Source organism: Homo sapiens, chromosome 7 (assembly GCF_000001405.40).
Source record: "Homo sapiens chromosome 7, GRCh38.p14 Primary Assembly".
Classification (NCBI taxonomy): Eukaryota; Metazoa; Chordata; class Mammalia; order Primates; family Hominidae; genus Homo; species Homo sapiens.
The window spans coordinates 64,293,450-64,318,648 of NC_000007.14; the positions used below are offsets into that span (position 1 = coordinate 64,293,450).

At 45.2% G+C, this 25,199-nt stretch overlaps 1 protein-coding gene and 1 long non-coding RNA gene across 16 annotated transcripts in view, besides 3 other annotated features; one reads left to right on the forward strand and one right to left on the reverse strand.

The window, feature by feature from the left end:
- Window positions 1-1,055: 1,055 nt before the first annotated feature.
- Window positions 1,056-17,027, reverse strand: LOC105375322 (uncharacterized). Of its 14 annotated transcripts, XR_007060347.1 has the most exons (8): window positions 14,049-17,027; window positions 7,257-7,735; window positions 6,634-6,940; window positions 4,929-5,034; window positions 2,763-3,682; window positions 2,483-2,595; window positions 2,145-2,220; window positions 1,056-1,270 (listed from the first exon to the last, which is right to left on the reverse strand). It is a non-coding gene; the product is annotated as an uncharacterized LOC105375322 (long non-coding RNA). The 14 variants fall into 14 exon arrangements; XR_007060345.1 differs by lacking the exons at window positions 2,483-2,595; window positions 2,763-3,682 and adding an exon at window positions 6,310-6,433; XR_001744923.1 differs by lacking the exon at window positions 14,049-17,027 and adding an exon at window positions 8,884-9,178 and having other exon boundaries at window positions 2,483-3,682; window positions 7,257-7,500.
- Window positions 13,484-13,533: an enhancer, noted in NCBI's record as "active region_26055". NCBI's record gives its function as "activates an Ori minimal core promoter by ATAC-STARR-seq in GM12878 lymphoblastoid cells {active_cell/tissue: GM12878}" and the evidence as "EXISTENCE:reporter gene assay evidence [ECO:0000049][PMID:35858748]".
- Window positions 14,324-14,483: an enhancer, noted in NCBI's record as "active region_26056". NCBI's record gives its function as "activates an Ori minimal core promoter by ATAC-STARR-seq in GM12878 lymphoblastoid cells {active_cell/tissue: GM12878}" and the evidence as "EXISTENCE:reporter gene assay evidence [ECO:0000049][PMID:35858748]".
- Window positions 20,512-25,199, forward strand: part of ZNF736 (zinc finger protein 736) — a 42,674-nt gene continuing 37,986 nt past the window's right edge. For both annotated transcript variants that reach the window (NM_001170905.3, NM_001294255.2), the window contains exon 1: window positions 20,512-20,704. In NM_001170905.3, the coding sequence (NP_001164376.1) occupies window positions 20,702-20,704 (3 nt within the window). In that variant the 5' untranslated portion in view covers window positions 20,512-20,701. The remainder of the gene's footprint in view (window positions 20,705-25,199) is intronic.
- Window positions 20,565-20,744: an enhancer, noted in NCBI's record as "active region_26057". NCBI's record gives its function as "activates an Ori minimal core promoter by ATAC-STARR-seq in GM12878 lymphoblastoid cells {active_cell/tissue: GM12878}" and the evidence as "EXISTENCE:reporter gene assay evidence [ECO:0000049][PMID:35858748]".

A 25,199-nucleotide genomic window follows, 5' to 3' on the forward strand; every position in this document is an offset into this window, starting at 1 on the left:
TGGGCACGGCCCAGGGAAAATGTCATGAGCCACATCACCAGGTGCTGGGCCCAGTGATATATTACAATCCCCTCTGAGGACAGCATCAAGGCAAGAGTTACATCACCTAGGTGCCTGTGCCAGGTATATGTCACAATTCTATTTGTGGGATTAGCCCAGGCTAAAGTGGCAAATCACTCAGGTGCTAGGAAAAGGTATATGTCAAAATCACAACTGTGGGTGTGAACCAGAAAACATGTTACAACACCTGGTGCTGAAGCAGGGATATGTAAAAAGTATTTCTGTTGGCAGGGCCTAGGCAAAAAAATAACATCTCTTGGATGCTGGGCCCATTGATATGTCACAATTACTTTTGTGGGCTGGGCCTAGGTAAAAAAGGAGGGTCATGTGGCCTAAGGGACTGGGTCCAGGGATATGTCACAATTCTCCTCGTGGGACCCATTCAGGAGAGTCACAGCACTTGGGTGCTGAGCTTAGAAATATGTCATGCCAGGCGCCGTGGCTCATGCCTGTAATCCCAGCACTTTGAGGTGGGTGGATCATTTGAGGTCTGGAGTTTGAGACCAGCCTGACCAACATAGTAAAATCCTGACTCTACTAAAAACACAAAAAAATTAGCCAGGCATGGTGGTGCATGCCTGTAGTCACAGCAACTTAGGAGGCTGGGGCAGGAGAATCACTTGAACCTGGAAGACAGAGGTTGCAGTGAGCCGAAATCACACCACTGCACTCCAGCCTGGGTGACAGAGCAAGACTGTGTCTGGCGGGGAGAAAAAAGGAGTACGTCACAATGCCCTTTGTTGACAGGTCCCAGACAAAAGAGTCACATCACCTGATAGTTGGGGCCAGTGATATGTCACAATTATCCATGTGGGCAGGGCCCAGGAAGAAAAATGACAGTCACATCACCTGAGTGCTGAGCCCATTGATATGTCAGAAGTCTTGCTGTAGGCAGACCCTATGTAGAAGAGGAGAATCACATGTCTTAGGTGCTGGGTGCAGTGTAATGTCACTATCTTTCTGAGAGCAGGGCCCAGGCACATCAATTACACCTATTAGGTTCTTGGCCAAGTATACGGCACAATTTTATTTGTGAACTGGACCCAGTCTGGGGAGTCAAATCACCACATGTTGGGCAAAGGCATATGTCACAATAACACTGTGGAAAGGTCCAGTGATAAGTTCCATCATCCTGCCCATGTCTTGACTCCAGGTAAAAGATTCATCATTGTGCTTGTAATTTGGTCCCAGGTATATGGCACAATACAACCTGTGGGGAGGGAAAGGCCAGAAAAGACACATCACTTGGGTGCTGGTCCAGAGACATGTCACAATCCCCCTTGTAGGCAGGACCCTGGCAGAAGAGTCACATCACCTGGCTGCTGGGCCCAGTGATATATCAAAATCCCCCTTGTAGGCAGAGCTTAGGCAGGAAAGGAGACTCACTTCACCTAAGTAATTAGCCTAGACAGGTGTCACAGTGGCCCTCATGGGCATGGCCAAGGCAGGAGAGTGACATCACCTTGGTGCTGGGCTCAGCAATGGGTCACAATCTCTCCAGTGGGCAGGGACCAGGCAAGAAAGGGAATCCCATCCACCTAGGTGCTGGGCTAAGTGATATGTTCCAATGCTTCCTGTAGGAAGAACTCAGTCAGGAGAGTCACATTATGTGGGTGCAGTACCCAGCTAAATGTCACAATGCACTCTAAGCACAGAGCCAAGGCAGTAGAATGAAGTCACATCACCTACATAATGAACCCAGAAATAAGTCACAATGCTCTTTGTAGGCAGGTACCAGGCAGGGGAGTCACAGCACCTGGGTGGATGCTGGTCACAGTGAAATGTAAAAATGCCCTTGGCAGGCAGGGCCCAGGAAGGAGTTTCACGTTACTTAGGTGGGTGGCCCAGGTATATGTCACAATTTTATGTGTGGGCTGGGCCTAGGAAACAGTCAGATCACTCAGGTTCTGGGCAAAGGTATATTTCCCAATCACACACTTGGGAATGTACAGAAATGAGTTTCACAGTTTCACACGAGTCCTGGCTTCATGTATGAGAGGCAACCCCTCCTGTGAGTGGGGTTCAAGTAAAGGAGTTACAGTCTCAACAATGCACAAATCCATGCACAACAGCCCCAATCTCACCTGCAGATTGTGTTCTGATAGGGAACTCACAGCCTCACAGGTCTGCTGAATCATGGTTTGAGAGTCACCAAACCACCTGGAAACCAGATCCACATATGAGAGTAACAAATCCAACTTGCAACTGTGTTTATGTGTGAGATTAAGTGCCACATTCATAGGCTCTGTTTATGTGTAAGAATGAAGAGCCTGTAGGCTGGGTCTGCATATGAGAGTCACAATCTCAGCTGTTAGCTAGGCCCTGTTATCAACTCTCTGTATCACTGTAGGTCTTCCTATGATAGTCCTGAGTGTTGTAATGTTCTGTAAATTTTATACAAGTAAGAGACCCAGGACATTACCTGTGGCCCTAAGCCTGGCTACAAAAGTCAAAATATTTCCCACTGGCTGTGTCCAGGTAAGAGAGTCATCATTGTGCCTGTGATCTGGACCCAGGTATATGCCACAATTTCACCTGTGGGCAGGAACAAGGCAGGAGAGTCACATCACCAATGATATGTCACAATGCCCACTGTAGACAGCGCACAGGCAGGAGAGTCACATCATCTGAATTCTTGGTTCAGCAATACATCAAAATCCCTTCTGTAAGTAGGGCCCAGGCAGCAAGAAGAGTCACATTACCTAGGTGCTGAGCCTGGCAATATGTCACAATGCTCCCCGATAGCAGGGCCCAGGAAAGAGCAGAGTCATATTGCACAGCTGATTGGCCCAGAAATTTGTCACAATCTCCACTGAGGGCAGGGCACAGGAAGAAAAGGAGAGTCACATTAACTAGGTGATGGGCCCAGCCAAATGTCACAATCTTTCCTGTAAGCAGGGCCCAAGCAGGATACTAGAATCACATGACATAGGTTATGGGCCCAGTGATATGTCACAATCCCTACTGAGACTAGAGTCCTGGAATGAGAGAAAAATTACACCACTTCTTTGATGTGCCCAGAGATATGCCACAATGACCCCTTTGGGCTTGCCCATGCAGAACACAAGAGTCACATCATCTAGGTAATAAACCCAGAGTCACATCACAATTTTTCCTGAAGGCAGGGCCAAGGCAGGAGAGTCACATCACCTAGGTTCTTGGCCCAGCAATATGTCACAATCCCTTCTAAATGCACAAGCAGGAAAGAAGAGTCACATAACTTAGGTACTGGGCACAGAAATATGCCACAATCCCCAATGGAGGCCAAGACAAGGCAAGTCAGTAGAGTCACATCACATAGGTGATAAGTCCAAAGATATGTCACAATGTACCCTGTGGTAAGGCCCAGGCTGGAGAGTTACATCACCTAGGAACTTGGTCCAGGTATATGTCACAGTCCCAACAGTTGGCTGAGTTCAAACAAATTGTAAAATAAATTAAGTGCTGTGTGAACATATACGCCACAATCACACCTGCGGGAAGGACCAGGAATAAATTTCACAATTCTACATATTTCCCAGCTTTAGGTCTGAGAGTCAACACCTCTTGTGAGTTGCATCCAAATACACGAGACACAGTCTTAACATCGGACAGGATCCGTGCATGAGAGCTCCATCTCCACCTTCAAACAGAGTCCCCATAAGATAGGCACAGCCTCACCAGGGTGCTGAATCTTGGTCTCAGAGTCACTATCCTACCTGTTGACCAGATGCATGTATGTGAGTCAAACTTTCAACTTTTCATTGCCTCTGGGCACGAGATTCAGAACCTCAACAGTGAGCTGTGTCTATATGGGAGAGTGACTATCCTCATTGTTGGCTAGGTATGCATAGGAGATTCACAATTTCCTCTATGTTTTTGGCTCTGTTATGACACTCTTTGTACCATCTGAGATCTTCACACAACATGCTTGAGAGTGGAATTCTGCTCTGAGAACTTTATGTTTTTATGGATCCAAGATCTTACCCGTTACCCTAAGCCCAGGCAGAAGTCAACATAATTTCTCTTGTCTGGGTCCAGCTATGAGAGTCATCACCATGTTTGTGAGCTGGGTCCAGAAATGAGTCACAATCTTACCTGTGGTCAGATCTGCATATGACAGTCACAATTTCAACTGTGAACTGTGTCCACAAGGCAAAGTCAGGATGTCACTAGTGGGATCTGCCCACATGTGTGGGTGACAATTCTTACTGTCAGCTGGCTGTGGGTATGAGAATAAGTCTCAACTTTGTATTGGGCTGTGTTGACACTCTCTGTACCACCACAGGGCATTATACTGTATGTGATTTTATGTTGTATGTGTTGTGATTTTTTTTGTGACCTTTGTACAAGTAGAAAACCCAGAACCATCCCCATTTTCCCAAGCGTAACAATGAGAGTGAACGTCTCTTCTGTTAGCTTGGTTCAAGTGTAAGAGACAACACTGTGCCTGTGAGTTAGTCAAGAAATGACTTCCCTTTGACCTGTGGCCAAATCCACATACGACAGTCACGATTCCAACTGTGGTCTGCATCCATATGTGAGATTTATAACCTCACCAGTGGGCTGTGTCTAGGTTTAAGGGTGACAATCCCATTGTTGGCTGGGTGCACCTATGGGAGTCACAATCTCACCTGCGTGTTGGACCGTGTTATGACATAGCTTATACCACCCAAGGGCTTTGTAAAATATTTGTGTCATAATCTCCCATGACCTTTTATAAGAAAACCCAGAACCTTACCTGTGTCCCTAAGTCTAGCCAGAAGAGTAAAAAAATCTGTTGTTTTGGTTGAGTCTATGTATGAGGGTCATTATCATGTCCACTAACTGGGCCTGGGTATATGTAAAAATTTCACCTCTGGGTGTGGATCAGGCAAGAGTCACATCACCTGAATTCTGGGCCAGGAATATGTCAACATTCTTCTTGTGTGCAGTGCCATAGCAGGAAAGCCACATCGCCTGAGTGCTGGGCTTAGTGAGATGTTACAACGCCTTCTGTGGACATAAAATGATAGTCACGTCACTTATATATTGGGTCCAGAAATATGTCACAATTCCCACTGTTGGCATGGCCCAGGCAGAAGAGTCACATCATTTGGGTGCAGGATCCAGCGATATGTTACAATCCTTACTGGAAGCAGGACCCAGGCAGAAGGGAAGAATCGTGTCACCTAGGGGATGGGTCTAAAAATATATCACAATTTACCCTGTGGACAAGGTTCAGGCAGAAAAAGATGGTAACATAACCTAGGTGATAGATCTGGAGATATGTCCAAATTTCCCCTAAGAAAAGGGCCAAGACAGGAGAGTAATATTGCCAAGGTGTATGGCCCAAATATATGTCACTGTCTCATTTGTTGGTTTTATCCAGGCAAAATAATCAAATCTCACAAGCTGGGCAAAGCTATATGTCACAGTCACACCTGTAGGAATGTCCAGAGATTAGATTCACAATCTCACATTGGTCCCAACACCAGGTATGGGAGTAAACACTTGTGAGTTGGGTACAAGTTTGCAAGTCAGAATCTCAGTGGTGACCTGGATTCCTGCATGAGGGCCCCAAGACCCCTGCAGACTTTTTCCTGATAGAATAGTAACAGCCTCACACATGTGCTGAATATTTGAGAGCCATCATCTTTTTTTGTGGAACAGATTCACATATGAGAGTCACAGTTCCAACTTTTGACTGTCTCTGAGCAGAAGATTCAGAAGCTCAGCAGTGACTGAGCTGTGTCCATGTGGCAAAGTGACAATCCTGACTGTTGGCTGTGCCTATGAGAGTCACCATCCCACCTGTGTGCTGAGCCCTGTTATGACACTCTCTGTGCCACTCAGGAACTTTATAAAATATGCACGAGTGTTGTAATCTCTGATCTTTCTACAAGTAAAAGACCCAGTAAATTGCCTATTTCCATAGCCTATTTAGAAGAGTCAAAATATTTTCTACTGTCTTGGTCCAGGTAAGAGAATCATCATTATGCCTGTGAGTTGGGCTTATGTATATGTCACAATCTCACATATGGGCAGGGACCAGGCAGAAGTTCACATCACCTGAGTGCTAGGCAAGGAATATGCCAATATTTCCCATGTGAGCAGGGCCCAGCAGGAGAGTTAAATCAACTGGGATCTTGGCTCCATGATATGTAACAATTTCTTTTAGGCATAGCCTGGGCAGGAAAGGAGAGTCACATCACATAGGTGCTGGGCACAGCAATATGTCTCAATGTCCCCTTTAATTATGGCTTAGGCTGGGGAGCAGAGTCATGTCACCTAGTTTATGGGCTCAGTAATATGTCACAATCTTCAGTGGGGCTCGGCCCAACCGGCAGTGTAGAGTCACATCTCCTAGGTAATGAGCCCAGAGATCTGTCACAATGCCTTCTGTAAGCTGGGCCTAGAAAGATAGGGAAAGTCACATCACTAGGTGATTGGCCCAGAGATATGTAACAATTTCTCCTGAAGGCAGAGCCCAGGCAGGAACATCACATCACCTATGTAGCCCAAGTATATGTCACAATTTCAACTGTAGACTGGGCCCAGGCAAAAATGTAAAAGCAATCAGGTGCTAGGCAAAGGTATATGTCACAATCATACCTGAAGAAAGATCCAGAAATAAAATTTCTAATCCTGCACATGTCCCAGCTGGAGGTTTGTGAGTCAACACCTCCTGTGAGTTGAGTCTACACATGCAATTCACAATCTCAACAGTGGACAGGATCCATACATAAGAGCCTCAACTCCACCTGCGCACAGTGTCTTAGTAGGGCAGACACACCCTAGCAGGAGTGCTGAAGTTTTGTCCAAGAGCTGAGGCAGGAGAACTGCTTGAACCTGGAAGGCGAAGGTTGCAGCGGGCTGAGATCATGCCACTGCACTCCAGCCTGAGTGACAGAGCGAGACTCTGTCTCAAAAAAAAAAAAAAAAAAAAAAAAAAAAAGAGTTATAATTTTACCTGTCAATCAAATCCCCATATGAGAGTCACAATTCCAAATTTTGACTGCTACCAGGTGTGAGATTGAGAACCTCAAGAGTGGGCTGTATGCATGCATTGAGGGTGAAAATCTTAATGATTGGCTGGGTATGCCTAGGGGAGTCACAATTTCACATGTGCACTGGCCTGTGACAACATCTGTGTACCACCCAAGGTCTTTATAAAATATGCATGAGCGTCCTAATAGTCCGTGACCTCTCTATATGTAGAATACCCAGAAGCATACCTGTTGTAATAAGCCTAAGAGCAAAAATCTCTTATTGGCTGGGTCCACGTATGACAGTTATCATCATGCCTGTGAGCTGGACCTAGGTATATGTCACAATCCCATCAGTGGGCAGGAACCAGGTAGGTGAGTCACGTTACCTTGGTTCTGTGCCAGGGATATGTCACAATACCCACTGTAGGCAGAATGCAGGCAGGCGAGTGACATCATGTGGGTGCTTGGCCCAGTGATGTCTTAATCTTTTCTGTAGAAAAGGCCCAGGCAGGAAGAGAAACTCTTATTATCTACATGATGGGCCCAGTGATTGTCACAATCCCCCTTGTAATCAGGGCCCAGACAGGAGAGAAGAGTCATATTGCCTAGACAAAGGGCCTGGTGACATGTCACAATCTTCACTTGGGGCAGGACAAAAAGAGAAGGGTCACATTATCCATGTGATGGGCTCAGAAATATGTTACAATGTTGCTTGTAGACAGGTCCTAGGGAACAGAAGTCAGTCACATTCCTAAGTGATTAACCCAAAGGTATGTCACAATACCTCTTAAAGGCAGGACCCAAGAAATAGAGTCAAAGACTGGGTGTGGTGGCTCACGCCTGTAATCCCAGCACTTTCGGAGGCTGAGATGGGCAGATCGCTTAAGGTCAGGAGTTCGAGACCAGCCTGGCCAATATGGTAAAACCCTGTCTCTACTAAAAATACAAAAATTAGCCAGGCATGGTGGTGTGCACCTGTAATCCCAGCTACTCGAGAGGCTGAGGCAGGAGAATCGCTTGAACCCGGGAGGCGGAGGTTGCAGTGAGCTAAGGTCACGCCACTGAACTCTAGCCTGGGTGACAGAGCAAGACTGTCTCGGGAAAAAAAAAAAAAAAAGAATATATTACATGAGTCCCCTAGACCTAGAAGGTGCTGCTGAGGTTAACACTGCACAGGGCATGAGAGGCATATTAGTCTTCCATTGCTCTGTAACAGGTCACCAGAAAATTAGTGGCTAGGAACACACCCATTTATTAGCTCATGGTTCTGTAGAACTTATGGTTCAGAGTCCGGCAGGCTCCACTGGGCTCTCTGTTTTAGTTTTCAAAACGCTGAAGTCAGAGTAGCAAACAGTCTGGGCTCTCATCTAGAGGTGCTGGGAAGAACCCATTTCTAAACCCATTCTGGTTGTTGCCAATTTCCAATTCCTCATGGTTGTAGGACTGGGATCCTTGTTCCCTTGCTCGCTGCTAGCTAGGACCCACTCTCTGTAAGTAGATGTTTCCCCACATTTTTCTCAAATTGCCCCTCCATCTTCCAAGTCAGCAAAAGCACATCACATTTCCCTCCTACTTTGAATCTCTGACTTAGAGAAAGCTCTATGCTCTCAAAGGCCTGCATAGTTAGGCCAGGCCGACCTGGATAATCTTCCTATCTTGAAACATAACACAATCACGGGACTGAAATCCCATCATATTCAGAAGTTCCCGAGATTTGGACATCTTTGGGGAATTTTAGAAATTCTGTCTACTACAAGAGCTAGGACTCAAAAAAGAGGCTTGGAATCCTAACTGGCAGGTCTTTGACAGCAGCCAAAAATCCAAATGAGACTTCAGTGAGGGTAAAAGTGGGGTCTGAATTCTGATTACCCACCAGGAGGTTTGCCTTTGCACTGCTTGAGTGCACACATTTGTAAAAGGTCTCACACCCACTCCGTTATTTCTTTGATCTCCTAGGGCATTCTGATGGTCATAGTAATTTTGAAGGCCAGGCTCTTCCTTCCTCTGAATTGGGTCGGTGAACCTTCTTGCTGTCCCCATGAAGGGTCCCTGTTATGTTCCATGACAGCCCAGATCTGGAACTCAGTCCAAACAAGCCTGTAATCCCAGCAATTTGGGAGGCTGAAGCGGGTGGATCACCTGAGATCAGGAGCTGAAGACCAGCCTGGCCAACATGGCAAAACCCTGTCTCTAGAAAAAATACAAAAATTAGCCGGGCATGGTGGTACGTTCCTGTAGTCCCAGCTACTCAAGAGACTGAGGCAGGAGAATTGCTTAAACCCAGGAGGCGGAGGTTGCAGTGAGCCGAGGTCGCGCCATTGCACTCCAGCCTGCGCAACAAGAGGGATACTCCGTCAAAAAAAAAAAAAAAAAAAAAAAAAAAAAAAGAGTGTTTTACCATTTATTAGGAGGGCAAAAGTTTTATTTTCATCCATATTTGCGTTGTATTTTAATGCACAGCAGGAACTTATAAGAGAAAACCCAGAAAAGTAATTAGGGTAAGTCTGGGCGCTGTGGCTCATGCCTGTAATCCCAGCACTTTGGGAGGCTTAGGCGGGGGGATCACCTGAGGTCAGGGGTTTGAGACCAGTCTGGCCAACATGGTGAAACTCTGTCTCTATTAAAAATACAAAAAGTTGGCTGGGCATGATGACAGGCGCCTGTAATCCCAGCTACTCAGGTCGCTGAAGTAGGAGAATCTCCTGAACCCAGGAGGCAGAGGTTGCAATAAGCCAAGATTACACCATCGCACTCCAGCATGGGTGAAAAGAGCAGGACTCCATCTGTCTCAAAAAAAAAAAAAAAAAAAAGAATAGAATAATCACACCTGCAAAAAGTAAGTGGATTAGCTTTACATAACAAACTTTAAAGGTGAGGACTGGCCAGGCTCCGTCCCTCTCCAGCTCACTCAAAAAAACTAACAATTATCAAGGGTAAGAAATAGAAAAGGGAAGGCCCAGCTCCAGCTAGTTTCCACCCTCCCCATGAGGCTATTTTTTTGCCAGTTTTGTATCGACAAGAAGAAAATGGAGTGAGAATGAGATCTGTACCCTTCGGGACTCTGGCAGTGAGAAACAAAGTAGAATATGAGATATGCTTAAATATCCTAGAGAAAGATTTCTAGGTTAAGATTTGAAATGCTCCAAAAACTTGTGTGGTGTTAATGAAATGACTCAACCTCTGGGTGTCAGTTTCCTAACCTGTAAAATGGGGATCTATGCCTACTTCATCAAATTGTTGCCAGAGTTAAATTCTTTTTTTTGAGACAGAATCTCGCTCTGTCGCGCAGGCTGAAGTAAAGTGGCACAGGCGTGAGCCACCGCACCCAGCCTAAATTCACTAATATTTAAAAATGGTGGTTACTGCAAGTGTCCACATTATTAATAAAATAGTATCAGTGGCTGGGTGCAGTGGCTCATGCCTGTAATCCCAGCACTTTGGGAGGCCGAGGCAGACGGATCATCTGAGGTCAGGAGTTCGAGACCAGCCTGGCCAAAATGAGGAAACCCTGTCTCTACTAAAAATACAAAAATTAGCTGGGCATGGTAGTGGTGGGCACCTATGGTCTTAGGTACTCCAGGAGGCTGAGGTAGGAGAATCACTTGAACCCAGGAGGCAGAGGTTGCAGTGAGCCAAGATCCTGCCACTGCACTCCAGCCTGGGCAACAGAGCAAGACTCTGTGTCAAACAAAACAAAACAAAACAAAAAGGTATCAGACTTCAAAATATATAAAAGAGATAATATTGATGAGACCAAAGACACAATTCCCAGATTCATAAAGAGTCCAGCAATATCCGAATGAGAAGACTGACAAGTAAGTTGAATTCTTCACAGCTCCACTGGAGAGAATGAGCATGGGGGCTCTAGCAAGATAAGTACCTGGCCAATGTCCAGTCACTAGTCTAGTAAGGGTAGAATCCCTAAAGACCCTGGGAAATACAGTTAAACAACAGGCTAACAGGAAAAAAAGTGGAACAAACCACACAACCCAGCAGATACTACCAGGAATGGGAGAGCAGAGGAGGGTCAGAGCCACAAAATCTAACCAGAAGACACCAAATTGCAAGGAGCTCCTGCTCCGTGCACAGCAGCTGTGGCTGCATCAGGACCAATCTTCTCAGACAGCTGCCGTGAGATGGCTGACAGCACAGTGTCTTTGCAGCCACACACCAAACAGCAGTGCATCTAAACACAGGTCCCAAGACTCCTCTCCGTTAATCCTCATTTTAAAATGATGTGTAGGTTCACATTACAACATTCCCTTTCAACACTTGTGAGCAAGTGTAATCAGACACCCTTACCTAAAGAGGGAACAGGGAGTAGGGTGAGAATACTGAGGGATAGGGGAGGGATGCAAGCACTTTACCACACAGACTGTGACTAAGGGCCTTACTTTTAAAAAGAGCAGCACCCAGCTGGCGTGGTGGCTCACGCCTGTAACCCCAGCAGTTTGGGAGGCCAAGGAGGGTGGATCACCTGAGGTCAGTAGTTTGAGACCAGCCTGGCCAACATCATGAAGCCTTGTCTCTACTAAATATACAAAAATTAGCCAGGCGTGATGGCAAATGCCTGTAAAGCAAGCTACTTGGGAGGCTGAGGCAGGAAAATTGTGTGAACCCGGGAGGCGGAGTTTGCAGTGAGCCGAGATTGCACCACTTCACTCCAGCCTGGGTGACAGAATGAGACTCTGTCTCAAAGAAAAAAAAAAAAAAGACTAGAGCCCCAGTATTGTGCTGTCATCTCCCTATACTTCCTCATCTTGCCACCTGCATAGATGACACATGGTTTCTCTTCCTTTCTTTACAAAGGCAGTGACGAATCTAGGTGTAATTAATCCTGAAGTGGTAAATTCTTCACAAGTTTCGCAAGTACAGTAATAGATTTCCATGGTCACAATCATGTTTTCCCATTTTTTTTGATAGTGTACCACATTCAGAAATCACAAATGAAAAACTATTGGAATGTGTGACATGAATGAACTATCACTTCCCTGTAGATTAACACCCGGGTTATTACAGATTAGATATAAAAACAAGAAAGCTTGTACCAACTTTCTGAAAGTAACTTTCTTTTTTTTTTTTTTTTTTTTCTGAGATGGAGTCTTGCTCTGTCGCCCAGGCTGGAGTGCAGTGGTGCAACCTCAGATCACTGCAACCTCCACCTCCTGCCTCAGCCTCCCATGTAGCTGAGATTACAGGCACACACCACCATGCCCAGCTAATTTTTGTATTTTTAGTAGAGATGGGGTTTCACCATGTTGGCCAGGCTGGTCTCAAACTCCTGGCCTCAGGTGATCCACACGCCTTGGCCTCCCAAAGTGCTGGGATTACAGGTGTGAGCCACTGTGCCCCGCCAAAAGTAACTGTTTCTGAGTACTTAGTATTTTAGGGACATCAATTATTAAGAGGCTACATGGAAGCAGAAGTGCTCCTGGATGTTTCCACTATCTAGACAGAACATTTCAACAGATCAGTCCCAGCAAGTTCAGTTCCATCCCTGACTGCAGAAGGTCATGAGCTTTCCATCCAAAGCAGAGATGTTAAACCTCACAGGTTCAAATGCCTTCCAAATGATCTACACCTTGAAAGTTGCTCCCACAAAGCTGGAGTGCCATCTGTTCCAGAGAGAGCTGGTCACCATCTATGTCTTTGAGACACTGGCCAGTCAGGTCTAAGGTGAGATGAAGCCATGATCACATGTGTAAAATATCAAAACAATCATTACCTTTAGGTTGATTTTTGGAGGCCTAGCCCCTTAAATGGGTTGGTAAAAATGGCCCACCCAGACACATGCCTGGAAACACTGGGGCTTTCTCCTCTGCTTTTAGCAGATCCCGGGTAAGCCAATAATTACTCTCCCTCATGTCTCGACTTCTACTTCCACGAAAAAGGGGTCAGTGAGGTTGACATTTTCACCAAACCACAGCCCATGTTACCCACTGCAAAGCTCAAGTTGTTTACGGGCGGCCCAGGCAGCAAATTTCTCCCAAATGCTGCTGAACTGGCGCTCTGCCTGGAGTAAGCAGAGGCCGGTGGCACAATGTACAATGTCTCAGACAGCCATCAGGCCAGTTTCTGTAGTAGTTTAGGAAAGCAGGCGGCTCCATGGGCTGAAGGAGGCGCGATGCCATGGAAAAACCAGCGGATAAGGATAAAGAGAGGAAGAGCTGCTCAGCCGGAGGTAGGACCTGCCAGATTTGGGCAAAAGCCCAGATTTATCCCTTATATCTCTCTCCAAACTCACTCCCCATGGAGACAGGGCAGCAGGGGGTGAGCGGGCAGCACTGCTTTGCCAGGTCCACACCACCCTGCCCCTCCCACTGAGCCCGGTGCCTGCTGGAATTGTAGTCCTGCAGCCAGGCGACCAGAGAGCCGGGAGCCGTTAAGAGACTACAACGTCCCCGCACGCCCGGCGAGGTGCGCAGCGCCCTGCCTCTCTTTCTTCTTCTTTCTTCTTTCTTCTTCTTCTTCTTCTTCTTTTTTTTTTTTTTTGAGACAGAGTCTCCCTCTGTCGCCCAGGCTGGAGTGCAGTGGCGCGATCTCGGCTCACTGCAACCTCCGCCTCCGGGGTTCAAGACTGCCTCAGCCTCCCGAGTAGTTGGGACTACAGGCGCCCGCCACCACGCGCGGCTAATTTTTTGTATTTTTAGTAGAGACGGGGTTTCACCGTGTTAGCCAGGATAGTCTCGATCTCCTGACCTCGTGATCCGCCTGCCTCGGCTTCCCAAAGAGCTGGGATTACAGGCGAAAACCACCGCGCCCTGCCGCCCTGCCGCCCTGCCGCCCTGCCTCTCTTTCTAAAGCTATGCCCAAACCCCGAGCCCGGAGCATGCCGGGATTGTAGTCCTGCAGTCCTGCAACCTAGGGACTGCGAGAGGTTAAGAGACTACATCTCTCAGCATGTCTAGCTAGGCGCGCACCGCCGTGTCCCCAGGGCTTCGCACCGCCCCCAGACTTGCGCATGCTGGGATTGTAATACTGTCGCCTTGCCACCAACGGGCTACGAGCGGTTAAGAGACTACAGCTCCCAGGATGTACGGTGATGGCACCCGTTTGGACTCCGCCCCTCTGCGCGTCTAGAGCTGTTCTCCCGTGCGGAGGGGATCCTGGCTGTTCCCAAATCTCGCCTGCCTGCGAGGAGCCAGCGTGGCCCGGGCAGCTGATCTCAACCTGTGATTGTGACATCACCCCTACCTGAGGAAGCCTCTTCCAGCCTGCTCAAGGTTGCCGTAGTTAGGTTTACCCTCCCTTCCTTCCCTCACCCCGTCCTTTCCCTCATCCCTGCCCCTTCCTCTGTCCCACGCGGCTTTCAGACATGCATAGTGCAGCCCCTCAGTAAAGGTGCAGCTAATGGCCCGTGGGCCTAGCAGTTGTCAGGCCTTTTGGGAGCCCATGATGGGAGCTCCCTGGTAAGTGAAACCGTCAATTAACTGCCTAAAATGACAATACCCCGTCTCTGGTATCTTTGCACTTGCCTCTTCAAAGCCACCTTTTCCTTTCTCTCTCTCTGGACTGTCACAGATCCTCCTCTGTACCCCAAGAACACCCCATTGGATTTCCGGGCTGGCTGCTTGGCCTACACACCTGGGTCAGGCCTCTCGCAGGGATGCGCCTGCCACTGTAATAAAGAGGAGAAAACGTCACACGGGAAAGGCCTGACTCCTTCGTACAATCAGAATACTCAACTGCACAGAGAAGGGACCCCTTTAAGCCACTTTGGGAGCCACATCCACCACTCTGTGACTCCCACACAGGCTGGTTCCCAGGTATCAGGTGTCCTAGTGTTAACACGGGCCAAAAGGACAAAACAGGACCCTAGGTCCTTCCCAAAACATTAGGAAAGTTTGTGTACTGAGGTAATGTACAATGTCTTTTTGCCCTGAATAGGGCTCCCTTAAAAACTCTTTTAATAATCATTTTTAAATATATCTCTGGAACCACTTTTAGTAATTTGCTGAAGGAACATAAAAGTAATTACCTTAATTCATGTTTTTCTTTTAGTTTTTCAGATTAACTAAGTAATTCATATTGTACATTTCTGAAATTGAAGTACGCACAGCTTCAATTCTGTGCAGGGAGGATGCAGCAGGAGAGAATATCCTGGGCACATCTTTCTGGAGAATCACTTTTACTACAAGATTTGTAAGAAACAAATTTATTTCCAAGGTAAGAAATTAAAACTCTAAAACAAGGCTAGAAAGTCATCTGCCTTTAATAACCCTTAGTCATCTGTGCCTGATATGTGAGACTTTCTCCAAGATAAATCTCTCAAGGATAACCTATTTTCCATCATTATAATTAGTAAAAATTAGAAATTTTAGAAAGTCAATTGGAAGCCCTGTCCTGCCAGTTTCTTAAATCACAATGTGGCCTTTGTACGATTTTACTTGGATTTTCTTTTTGGAATCTGTTGACTGCTTGGATATAAAATGTGGGGTTTTGACAAATTTTTGCAAGTTTTCAGCTATTGTTACTTTTGCACCCCATTTAATTTTTCTGTCCCTTCACTCTTTCTAGGACACAATCTGCCCACAGATTGTAAGACTCTGTTCATTTTCTTCAAACTTTTTTTACTCTTTTTTTCAGATTGAATAATTTCAATTGTTCTGTCTTTTTCTAATCTATGAATCAACCTAAAAGTACTATTTAAAATTTCATTATCTTTCTATTTGGTTCTTTTTAATAATGTGCATTTCTCTGCTGAGATTCCACATGTATTCATTCATTATGAGAATTTTTTTTCTTCACCCCATGACTATAGTTTTAATAGCTGCTCTCAAATACTTGACTGCTGATAACAACATCTTGGACATTTTGGGGATAGCTTTTAATGCCTATGTTTTATCTTGTGTATGGATAACATTTTTGTGTTTCTTCTCATGTCTCTTAAATTTTAAAATTGTATTTTAAAAACTGTAAATAATACTTATAGAGACTCTGGATCCTGTTGTATTCCTTTGAAGAGTGTTGTTAGTTTTTGAAGAGGGAGTTAATTTGGCTGGATTCAAATTCAAATGCCTGTCTCCCTTTCCGTGGGCACAGCTAAAATTATCATTCGCTTCTTATCCCCACATATATCATATGTATGATATATAGATGTGTGTTTCTATATAATATATGACATTGTATCCAGATTTTACCATTATTTGTAAGAGTAGTGTTCAACAAGCTACTCCACTATTACTGAAAGCCAAAACCTCAATTTTATATTCTTTTTGGATTTTACATAAATGACATTATATAGTATGTATACTTTTACATATACTTTCTTTTGTACATCATATTTGTAATATTCATCAATCCTGCTGTAGATATGTAAGTACTGAGATTACAGGCATGAGCCAACGTGCTCAGCCTAAAATATTTTAGGAGGTTAAGGTGGGAGGATCACTTGTGGCTGGGAATTTTAGACCAGCCTGGGCAATAGAGTGAGACCCTCTCTCTACAAAAAAATTAAAAATTAGCCAGGCACGGTGGCATGTGTCTGCTATTCCAGCTACTCAGAAGACTGAGGCAGAAAGATCAGTTGAGCCCATAAGTTCAAGGCTACAGGAAGCAATGATTGCACTCCTGCACTCCCATCTGGGTAACAGAGCAAGACTCTGTCTCTTAAAAAATAATATAAAAATTTAAAATAATTTTATACATTATGTTAAAATACACATAAAATTAACTATTTTAACCATTTTAAAGGTTTCCATTGAGATGAATTAAGTACACTCATTATTTTGCTACCATCATTTCCATATATAAAAAGCATATTCCATTTTTTGAAACTGAAACTGTACCCATTAAACAACTCCTTATTCTCCCTGTAGCCCCTGGGAAACACTCTCCTACTTGGTGTTTTCTATGACTTTAACTACTCTTAAGTACCACATATGAGAAGAATCATATAGTAAAGAAATCATGAGGAAGAATGATAAAAAATGTATCACATGCTTATTAATTTTCAATAAAAACACCAACAGAGATCAGTAGTACCTGTTGATTATAAATAAACAGATAAATGAGAAAAAGGAATTGGCAGTGTGCATTGTATTTATGACAATGGGGCCTCAAGTACCATAGCAGTGAGTCCTCTGCCCCAGGCACAGGGCTGGTCAGTGGTGGAGCTGGAAGCCCAGTGTAGCTGTCTGACACCCGGATCCCATGCCTAACCCAAATGTCACTGAGCCCTAAGGCACTTCGCTCCTGCTGGTCCAGGCAGTGTCCCCTAAGATTCATCATGGCATGTTCTCCATGGCCTTAAGGAGTTGCTGGCCTACTGGGATAAGCGATCCAGCTGGCAGGACAGGTTGTAGCTACAAGTCATAGAGGCAGATGTGAGGTCTCTATGTAGGAGTCACACCCCTAGTCTCCTTCCCAGTGCCTGCCCAGCTGGAGTGCTGGGCCCCCGGGGTCACCATGCAGCAGGGCCTGACACTGACCAGGGAGCCATGGCCACAGGCTCTTGGCAGCTGGCCCAAAATAAATATTCTCCATAACCTCTGCCGATCTGCTGGACCCTCACCTCTCAGTCTCACTGAGCCACTCCGTTAACTGGAGGCAGACCCAAAATTGCTCCACAGGCTGAAGGTGATAATTGTCTACAGCCAGCTGAAGCAGCTGCATCTCCTGGAGAACTTTGATCTCCTGCAGCTAAAGGGGGGGACAAGTGGAAGATGCGGATAGGAGGGTCCAGGAGACAGGGGATTATGAGATTTCAGGGGACAGGCCTCGAAGGGACACCCAAAAGTGAGTAGTCATCCCCATCACCACCCGACAGCACAGGGTGTTGCCTCCATCCTGGACACATTTTCCAGTTATCTGGTGATGGGAAACCCTGCCAGAAAGGATTATATGGATGGGAGTGAGCCTGGGATGGGCAGGGCTGGAACCAGAATCCTGAGGCTTGGGAGAAGAGAATCAGGACTACACCCTTAGATCTCAGCACTTGGCAAACTTCCTCTCATGAGAGCGTCACGGCTGCCTCTGTGAGCTGAGGTATCAGGCCCCTCTTCCCTATGAATGTTGAAGATTCCACACCAGCCACCAGTCCCTGTTCCCTGAGTGATGAAGCTGCAGAGCTGTCTGCTTGCAAAGCCCAGTGAGGTTTTGCCTGAGCTGGACTCAGACTCTCCCTCAGATGGTGCCAATGGAAGGATAGTAAACTTAGGCCTCTCCAAGGGCAGGCAGCTCGTATGTGGCTGAGCACTTTTGTTTTTTGTTTTTTGGTTTTTTTTGAGATGGAGCCTCCTCTGTCACCCAGGCTGGAGTGCAGTGGCATGATCTTGGCTCACTGCAAACTCCGCCTCCCAGGTTCAAGCAATTCTCTGCCTCAGCCTCCTTAGTAGCTGGGATTACAGGTGCCCACAACCACGCCCAGCTAATTCTTGTATTTTTAGTAGAGACGGGGTTTTGCCATCTTGGCCAGGCTGGTCTTGAACTCCTGACCTGGTGATCCACCATCCTCAGCCTCCCAAAGTACTGGGATTACAGGTGTGAGCCACCGTGCCTGGCCTGGCTGAGCACTTTTTTAAATGGGAGCCCTCAGTTTTTATGTCTGTCATCAAAGAGAGTTGGGGTGGGAGGTCCCTGAGCCTCAGCTCCCATTGTCCCCTTTGAACCCCAGAACCTGCTGCAGACCCAAGTCCTGCTTTGTGCACATCCCCTGCCCCTGGTGGCCCTGGCAGTAATGCAGTATGAAGAGTGTGGGGAGGGGACCTAGTCAGGGTCCAAGGGGCCTTTCTGATGACCATTGGCTGACTTCTAGGGAAATGTAACACCCAGAAAGAAAAGGAAGGTGAGCAGCTGGGGCAACATTGGGAGAGAGTGGGGAGGTGAAAGTCAGCAACACCCTGTGCTATCAGGTGGTGATGGGGATGAGTATCCACTTTTGGGTGTCCATTCAAGGCCTGTCCCTGAAATCTCATAAGCCCCCATCTCCTGGACTCTCCTATCCACATCTTTTACTTGAAAAAGCCAAAGACACGCAGCTGCCTCTCTCCAACTCTCTCCCCTCTTCCTAGCTGGCCTCCAAAAACATGAAGCACTCCCTTATTAACTCTGTGGTGAGATTTTAACAAGTCACAATGTTATGTGGTCCCTAGCTCCACCGTTTCCCAAATCCACTCAGCCCAGCTCTTCCAGGCCTTTACTCTGATTTCTCTTATAGAGGCATTTCAGGGACTGTTGCCACAGGAGGGAAGGGCTGAGGGAGAAAGGCCCCTTGCTCTTTTGATGTGGAGGCCTCCAGCTGGGAGGGAGGAGCTCTTCCCTCTGAATCCCTGGAGCTCTTCCCCATCACAGGTACCTGCCTTTTTGCTGCTTTAGCCTCATCTGGGCTTTCTGTGGTTTCTTCTCTAGGGTGGCCAACTTGGGTGTCTTCCTCTGCCAGGGTCAAGGACAAGGTCAGTGATATTATGCTCCCTTCACCCAGTTATGCCCAGTTACATTGACCTGGTACCCTGGATAACTGGTGTGAGTCAAGCTGGTCCAGTGCTCCTGCCACCTCCAGTAAACTCTGATTCTAGATTCACTCCCTGCTGCAACACTCACTGTGTGTGGAACCTTGGGCATGCAGCCAGGCCTCCCTGAGACTGTTTCTCAACTTGAAAGTGTGATGGGAACCACACCTACCTCACTGGGCCTCGTGAGGACTCAGTTATATGTAGCCGTCACCATTGTTCTCATCATCATCTCTCTCAGGAAGAGCCAGGCACAAGCACTCTCAAATTTTTCTCCTTTGAAGCTCCTCATTACCCTGTGAGGCTCATCATCCCTACATTTTTTAGATAAGAAAACAGAGGCCCAAAGAGGGCAGTGACTTGCCCAGGGCTCTACAGAAGAGGCCGGCTCCTCCCCACACCTGGAGGCCCTGACCTAGCTGACTTTACCCCACAGCCCAGCACTATCCCTGACTAGGGTCCCATCTTGGTTCTCCATGCTTGTTTAGGTCCTCAGGCAGGCTCAGCTTTGGTGGGAAAGAGACAGGGTGTTTTGGGAGGCCTGGGCGAGTGGCACCTCTAACCAATCTGCTAGGCCCTCACCTCTCAGTCTCACTGAGACACTCCATTAATTGGAAGCAGACCCAAAATTGCTTCACAGACTGAAGGTGATAATTGTCTACAGCCAGCTGAAGCAGCTGCATCTCCTGGAGGACTTTGATCTCCTGCAGCTAAAGGGAAAGACAGGATGCTGAGACAGGGCCTGCAGCATACACATAACTATAATTCAGAATGTAATATATACACACACACGAAAATATAATCAGAAAGTGATATAATCTTATATGCAAGGTTAAATACAAATGTCTCTCAGGCAGGGCCAGGCCCCCAGCACAGGGAGGACTCGCCTGAAAACGCTGCAGGCAAAAACCTGTCACCCTTGCCTCATTCAGCCCAGTGTCTGATTACATCTTCTGTCACTTAGGATTGAAACGGGTGGGGCCTGGAGCCCTAGCCAATCAGTGGCGCCAGCGTGAAACTGTCCAATCAAGTGCGCAGCTACAGAGGAAGAGGCGGCCTCTTCAATATGGCGGGGCCTTTGTCTCCTAGCTTCCGGGCTCTGATCCTAGTTCGCGTCTCCACTGTTCCATCTCCTCCGTTCCTGGAGTTCCTCGGTGACTCTACTATAGCTTCTGTTATCCTGTGACCTGCAGGTACTGGGAGATCCATAGGGAGGACGGCGGAACATCTGGAGGCTGGGAAATGGTGAGTGCGTGGAGTGGGTGTCCCGAGAATGGGGAAGAGGCTGTTTGAATCCGGCCGGAACCGGCTGCGGTGGTATCTGGGCCTTCTCGCGGTCTGCTCTGGAGTCTGCATCCCCGAGTCCCCGCGGGCACAGCTCAATCCTCATTTCCCTCCATCGCAGATTAGGGGCTGAGCCAGCAGCCAAAACGCTACGTCTTGTTTTGTCCCTAAACTCGAATTTCTCCCCAGCTCAGATCCCTTCCTGGGCAGCTCTGTGCCGCAACCTCGAGTCTCCCTCCTCCAGATTGTGTGGGGGTGTTGGGAGTGTCATAAGACGGGAATTCTCATTTAGGGTCTGGAGTTCCTCCGTGGAAGAAGCAGTGGGCCGTGGGGTCCCTAGTCCCTCCTTTCTCCTTTTAAAAATAAAATCATGGCCCTTTTTTAAATTTATTTATTTTTGAGACAGTGTCTCACTCTGTTGCCCAGGCTAAAGTGCATTTCGGTTCACTGCAGCCTCCACCTACTGGGCTCAGATGATCCTCTCACCCCAGCCCCCCAAGTAGCTAGGACTAGAGGGGTGCGCCACCACGCCTATTTTGTTTTGTTTGTTTTTGTAGAGACAGGCTTTTGCCATGTTGCTCAGGCTGGTCTCGAACTCCCCGAGCTCAGGTCTCAGGTGATCCGCCCGCCTCGGGCCTCCTAAAGTGCCGGGATTACGTGCATGACCCACCACCCTAGCCTAAATTGAGGCAACTTTAGGATATAATTTGGATGTGTTTTCCAGCCCAAATCTCCTATTTAAATGTAATCCCCCATGTTGGAGGTGGGGCCTGGTGGAAGGATTGTGGGCCCGGATTTCTCACGAATAGTTTAGCACCATTCCTCTTGGTATTGTCCTCTCAATAGTGAGTGAGTTCCCTGAAGTTCATCATTTAGAAGTGTACAGCACCCCACCTTGCCTCTTTTTCAAGCTCTTGCTTCACCTTCATCCATGATTTTAAGCTTTCTGGGTGGGGCCTCCCCAGAAGCAGACGCTGGTGTTATGCTTTCTATGCAGCCTGTGGAACCATGAGCCAATTAATCCTCTTATAAATTACCCAGTCTGAGGTATTTATAGTAATGCCAGAAGCGATTAATACAAATAGTTTACTTGCACAAACAGTAATTTATCAATCAGAGAACACCCAGCTATGATTTGTTGTTTGGGGGCTCAAAGGAGGGTCTTGGAACAAAAGGTTGTTTTTTTTTTTTAAGAGGTATGAGGAAGCAAACCAGATTCAATATTTGATTGGTTACAGTTACGTATTGCATTTGCAGCCCTCCGGTGGAAATGTCCTGGTTATGTAATTAGAGCTTTTTATTGGCAGCTTGTGGTTGGTTAAGCCTAAGTTGTTTTGTTGTTGTTGTTGTTGTTTCTCAAAGTTAATAATTTACCAGAAATTCCTTCGACGTAGTTAGGTTTCCTTAGGCAGAATCCCAGGGCACCATGGCCACTTCAGCCTAATTGCTAGCTATTTAATTATTTTAATGCTCCACAGGGTCGTTGGTTTTCTCTGCATTTTTCAAATGTTTGGCAAGCAGGGTCTCAAATCTAAAACTGTTCTCCCAGCCTAACTGTTCTAGGGACTGTATAAAATTCTAAATTTCCAATTTCTTTCCCACATTCCCAAATGCCAACTATCCCTCTCCAAATCACATTATGAACTATCAGTTCTTTATTTAATTTTAAAACGGATGTGGCATTTTGTTTATTTTTGTTTAACAGAGCCGTGGGTGGCTCTTTTTAATATATTAGTCTGTTTGTGCATATTTCACAGGACAGAAAAGCAAAGAGTAGTCACCTGACACTGCGCATCTCCTCTCATCTTCTCTAGGCACGCGCGCCTTCCCAGAATGTCTTTGGATCCTTTGCAGGGTGATGTGTCCTCAGTCACTCTCCTGTGTTTTCCTGGTCCAAGTATTACAGCTTTCTGGGGATGATCCAAGATACCCACAAGGACCATATCTCTTGGAGTGTCTAGCAAACATTAGCCCCTGGGTCATCTCCTTTCAGAGAAGAGCCTGAGGCATTGGGTGGAGCCTCTCAGGGGAGCAGCTGGATGCCCTCGTGCTGAGAGCAGTTTCCTGATTCACCCTTCCTCTAAAAAGCTAACTGCTTTAACATTAAGATTTTTTTCCCCTCAATCCTAGTTTTCATTTCTTGCAGACACATTGGTGGTCAACCAATCAGGTGCTGATATTGAGGGGAAAAGGCACAAATGCATCTTGCCCTCTGGTTTCTCTCAGGCTTGTGAAGGAGAATAACTGTCCCAAAGTACAGGAAAGATCCACTCTAGTGAGGGAGTGTATAAATTTGCAAAGCAAAATACACATCTGCCACACAGGGGGCAAGTGCAGTATCTTTTGGGAGAGTGATGATCAAGTACTTTAGTGAGCAGAATGGGGGTGGGAGAATCTCTCAAGTGATTGACACATGAGTCTAAAACATTTGTGTTCCAGTCAGCACTACTTCTCCCTGTGTTTGTCACCTTCAATATATATGTTCAGTTATTTCAACTTCAGTTTTTCATTAATTGTATAATGGATTTTATCATTAGAGCTTGAAAGATTAAAAAAAAAATTTTCTAAAAGAAAAGAGGTAGATTTTAGAAAAAAATAGTTTATATTCCATTGGTTGAAAATTCTCATTTACCTTTTATATTTCCCACAGTGAGTGTAGTAAGATTCCGCGTCTGTTCTATTTAGCATGATTTCAAACAGAATCCCAGGGCTTAGCTTTGGGAATGCTACCTGGGAAAAGACAGAGGAAATGTCTCTCTCATGATGCCTGCAGAAAAATAAATACATTTCTACAAGAAAGTGTGGTAGATTAACACGTAAATTACAAAACATTCATGAAAACATCAGTTTCTCTCTTGTGCAGGGTGGAGAATTTGTGACAGTGGCCAACTCATTTTTTTAAAAAATTTCTACTTTGTAGGAAGTATTTATGTGTACACAATAAAAAGATATTTCCCACCATACATACATATCTTTGCTCAGGTAATATATGTAACCTAAAGCAATATGATTGTCTAGTATAATCGTAGCCAGTGAATCAGTAGCTTTTTTTTGAGCTGCAATGGATGTAACAGTTTTATCAGTAATTTTTTCTAAGCTTATAAAAATATTTTTAATCATGTGTTCATGGGAGGTGACACCTCACCAAGGCAAAAACATTTTTTTCCAATAAAATGAATGAAGCTGTTTTTTGAAAGCCAGGCAGATAATTAGCAGATTTTTTTCAAATAGAATCTTAATCTAAAACAGATTGGTGGCCATGCCTGTGGAAAAGTTAGAGAGAATTTGTCCAGTACTGGGTTTTTTCAGAGCTATGTAGAGAGAGCAGTGACCAGATATTTTAAAAGACATTACCCTTCAATTTAGTGGCACAGGTACTGGCCAAGAAAATCTAATATGGTTCCTTCCAACAAATTTGGAGTAAATCTTCTTCATAAAAGTAGAAAATCAAATTTTATTTTTATATTATTAATATTAAAGCTAACCTTAGGAAAGCATTATAAACAGATGTATTCAATCTCAATCAGCTTTGACCATACAAGATTTCTGTAAACCTTTTATAACCCCTTAAAATTTTATTTTTCTCTTTCTCCAGCTTTCTATATCCATTAAGTTTACCTCATTTTCTTTATCTTTTTTCTCTCAATTTTATGTATTTTTTAAATAACCTCTAAACTCAGCAAAATTGCCGTTTCTTTAAGAAAAACCACATTCTCACATCTGTTTCTAAAATATTTTTTTTTCATCAAGAAACACATTTTCTTTGTACTGTGTATGTAAAGTTGTTTCTCTCCTTAACAATAGTTTTAGTTACGAATCTTGGGCAGAATTTTAATTTTTAATAATCTTAATTTATAGTGAAAGCCTGAGAAGTAAGCAATTTTAACTATTAGTCATGAACTAAAATTTTATAAAGATATATTTTCTAATTTTTAGAAACATAGGATTTTAAATGGAAACATTTTTAATGTGGAATAGGGCATACTAACAGATCTAAATATCTTTGGTTTCTGTGAAGAAACCAAAAATATTTAGCTTAAACTTGTATTTAAAAATTAATATCTTAGCATTTTGTCTTACTTGGAGATAATTTAGATGTTTAATGAATAGCCATCATTTAATGTAGCTTAGCAACAGTCTACGAGTGTAGTTTCCATAAAGATTTGAGAAACTATTTAAATTAAACACATTACAAAACAATCAGTATTGTAAGTTTATAAACTTTTGTCCCATTTACATGCTTTATTTATTTATTCTTAACAATTATTTTTGTAAAATCTCATGAAACAGACTAATATACTCATCTAAAGTTAAACTTCCTATTATCCATTTTTATATTACCATGTTGGGCAAGTATCATAAAAGCAATAAAGTTAAATATATACATATTTTGCTGAGAAGTCAAAAGACTTTTTTAAAATTAAACTAACAATATTAAACTAGTCATGTTTACCAA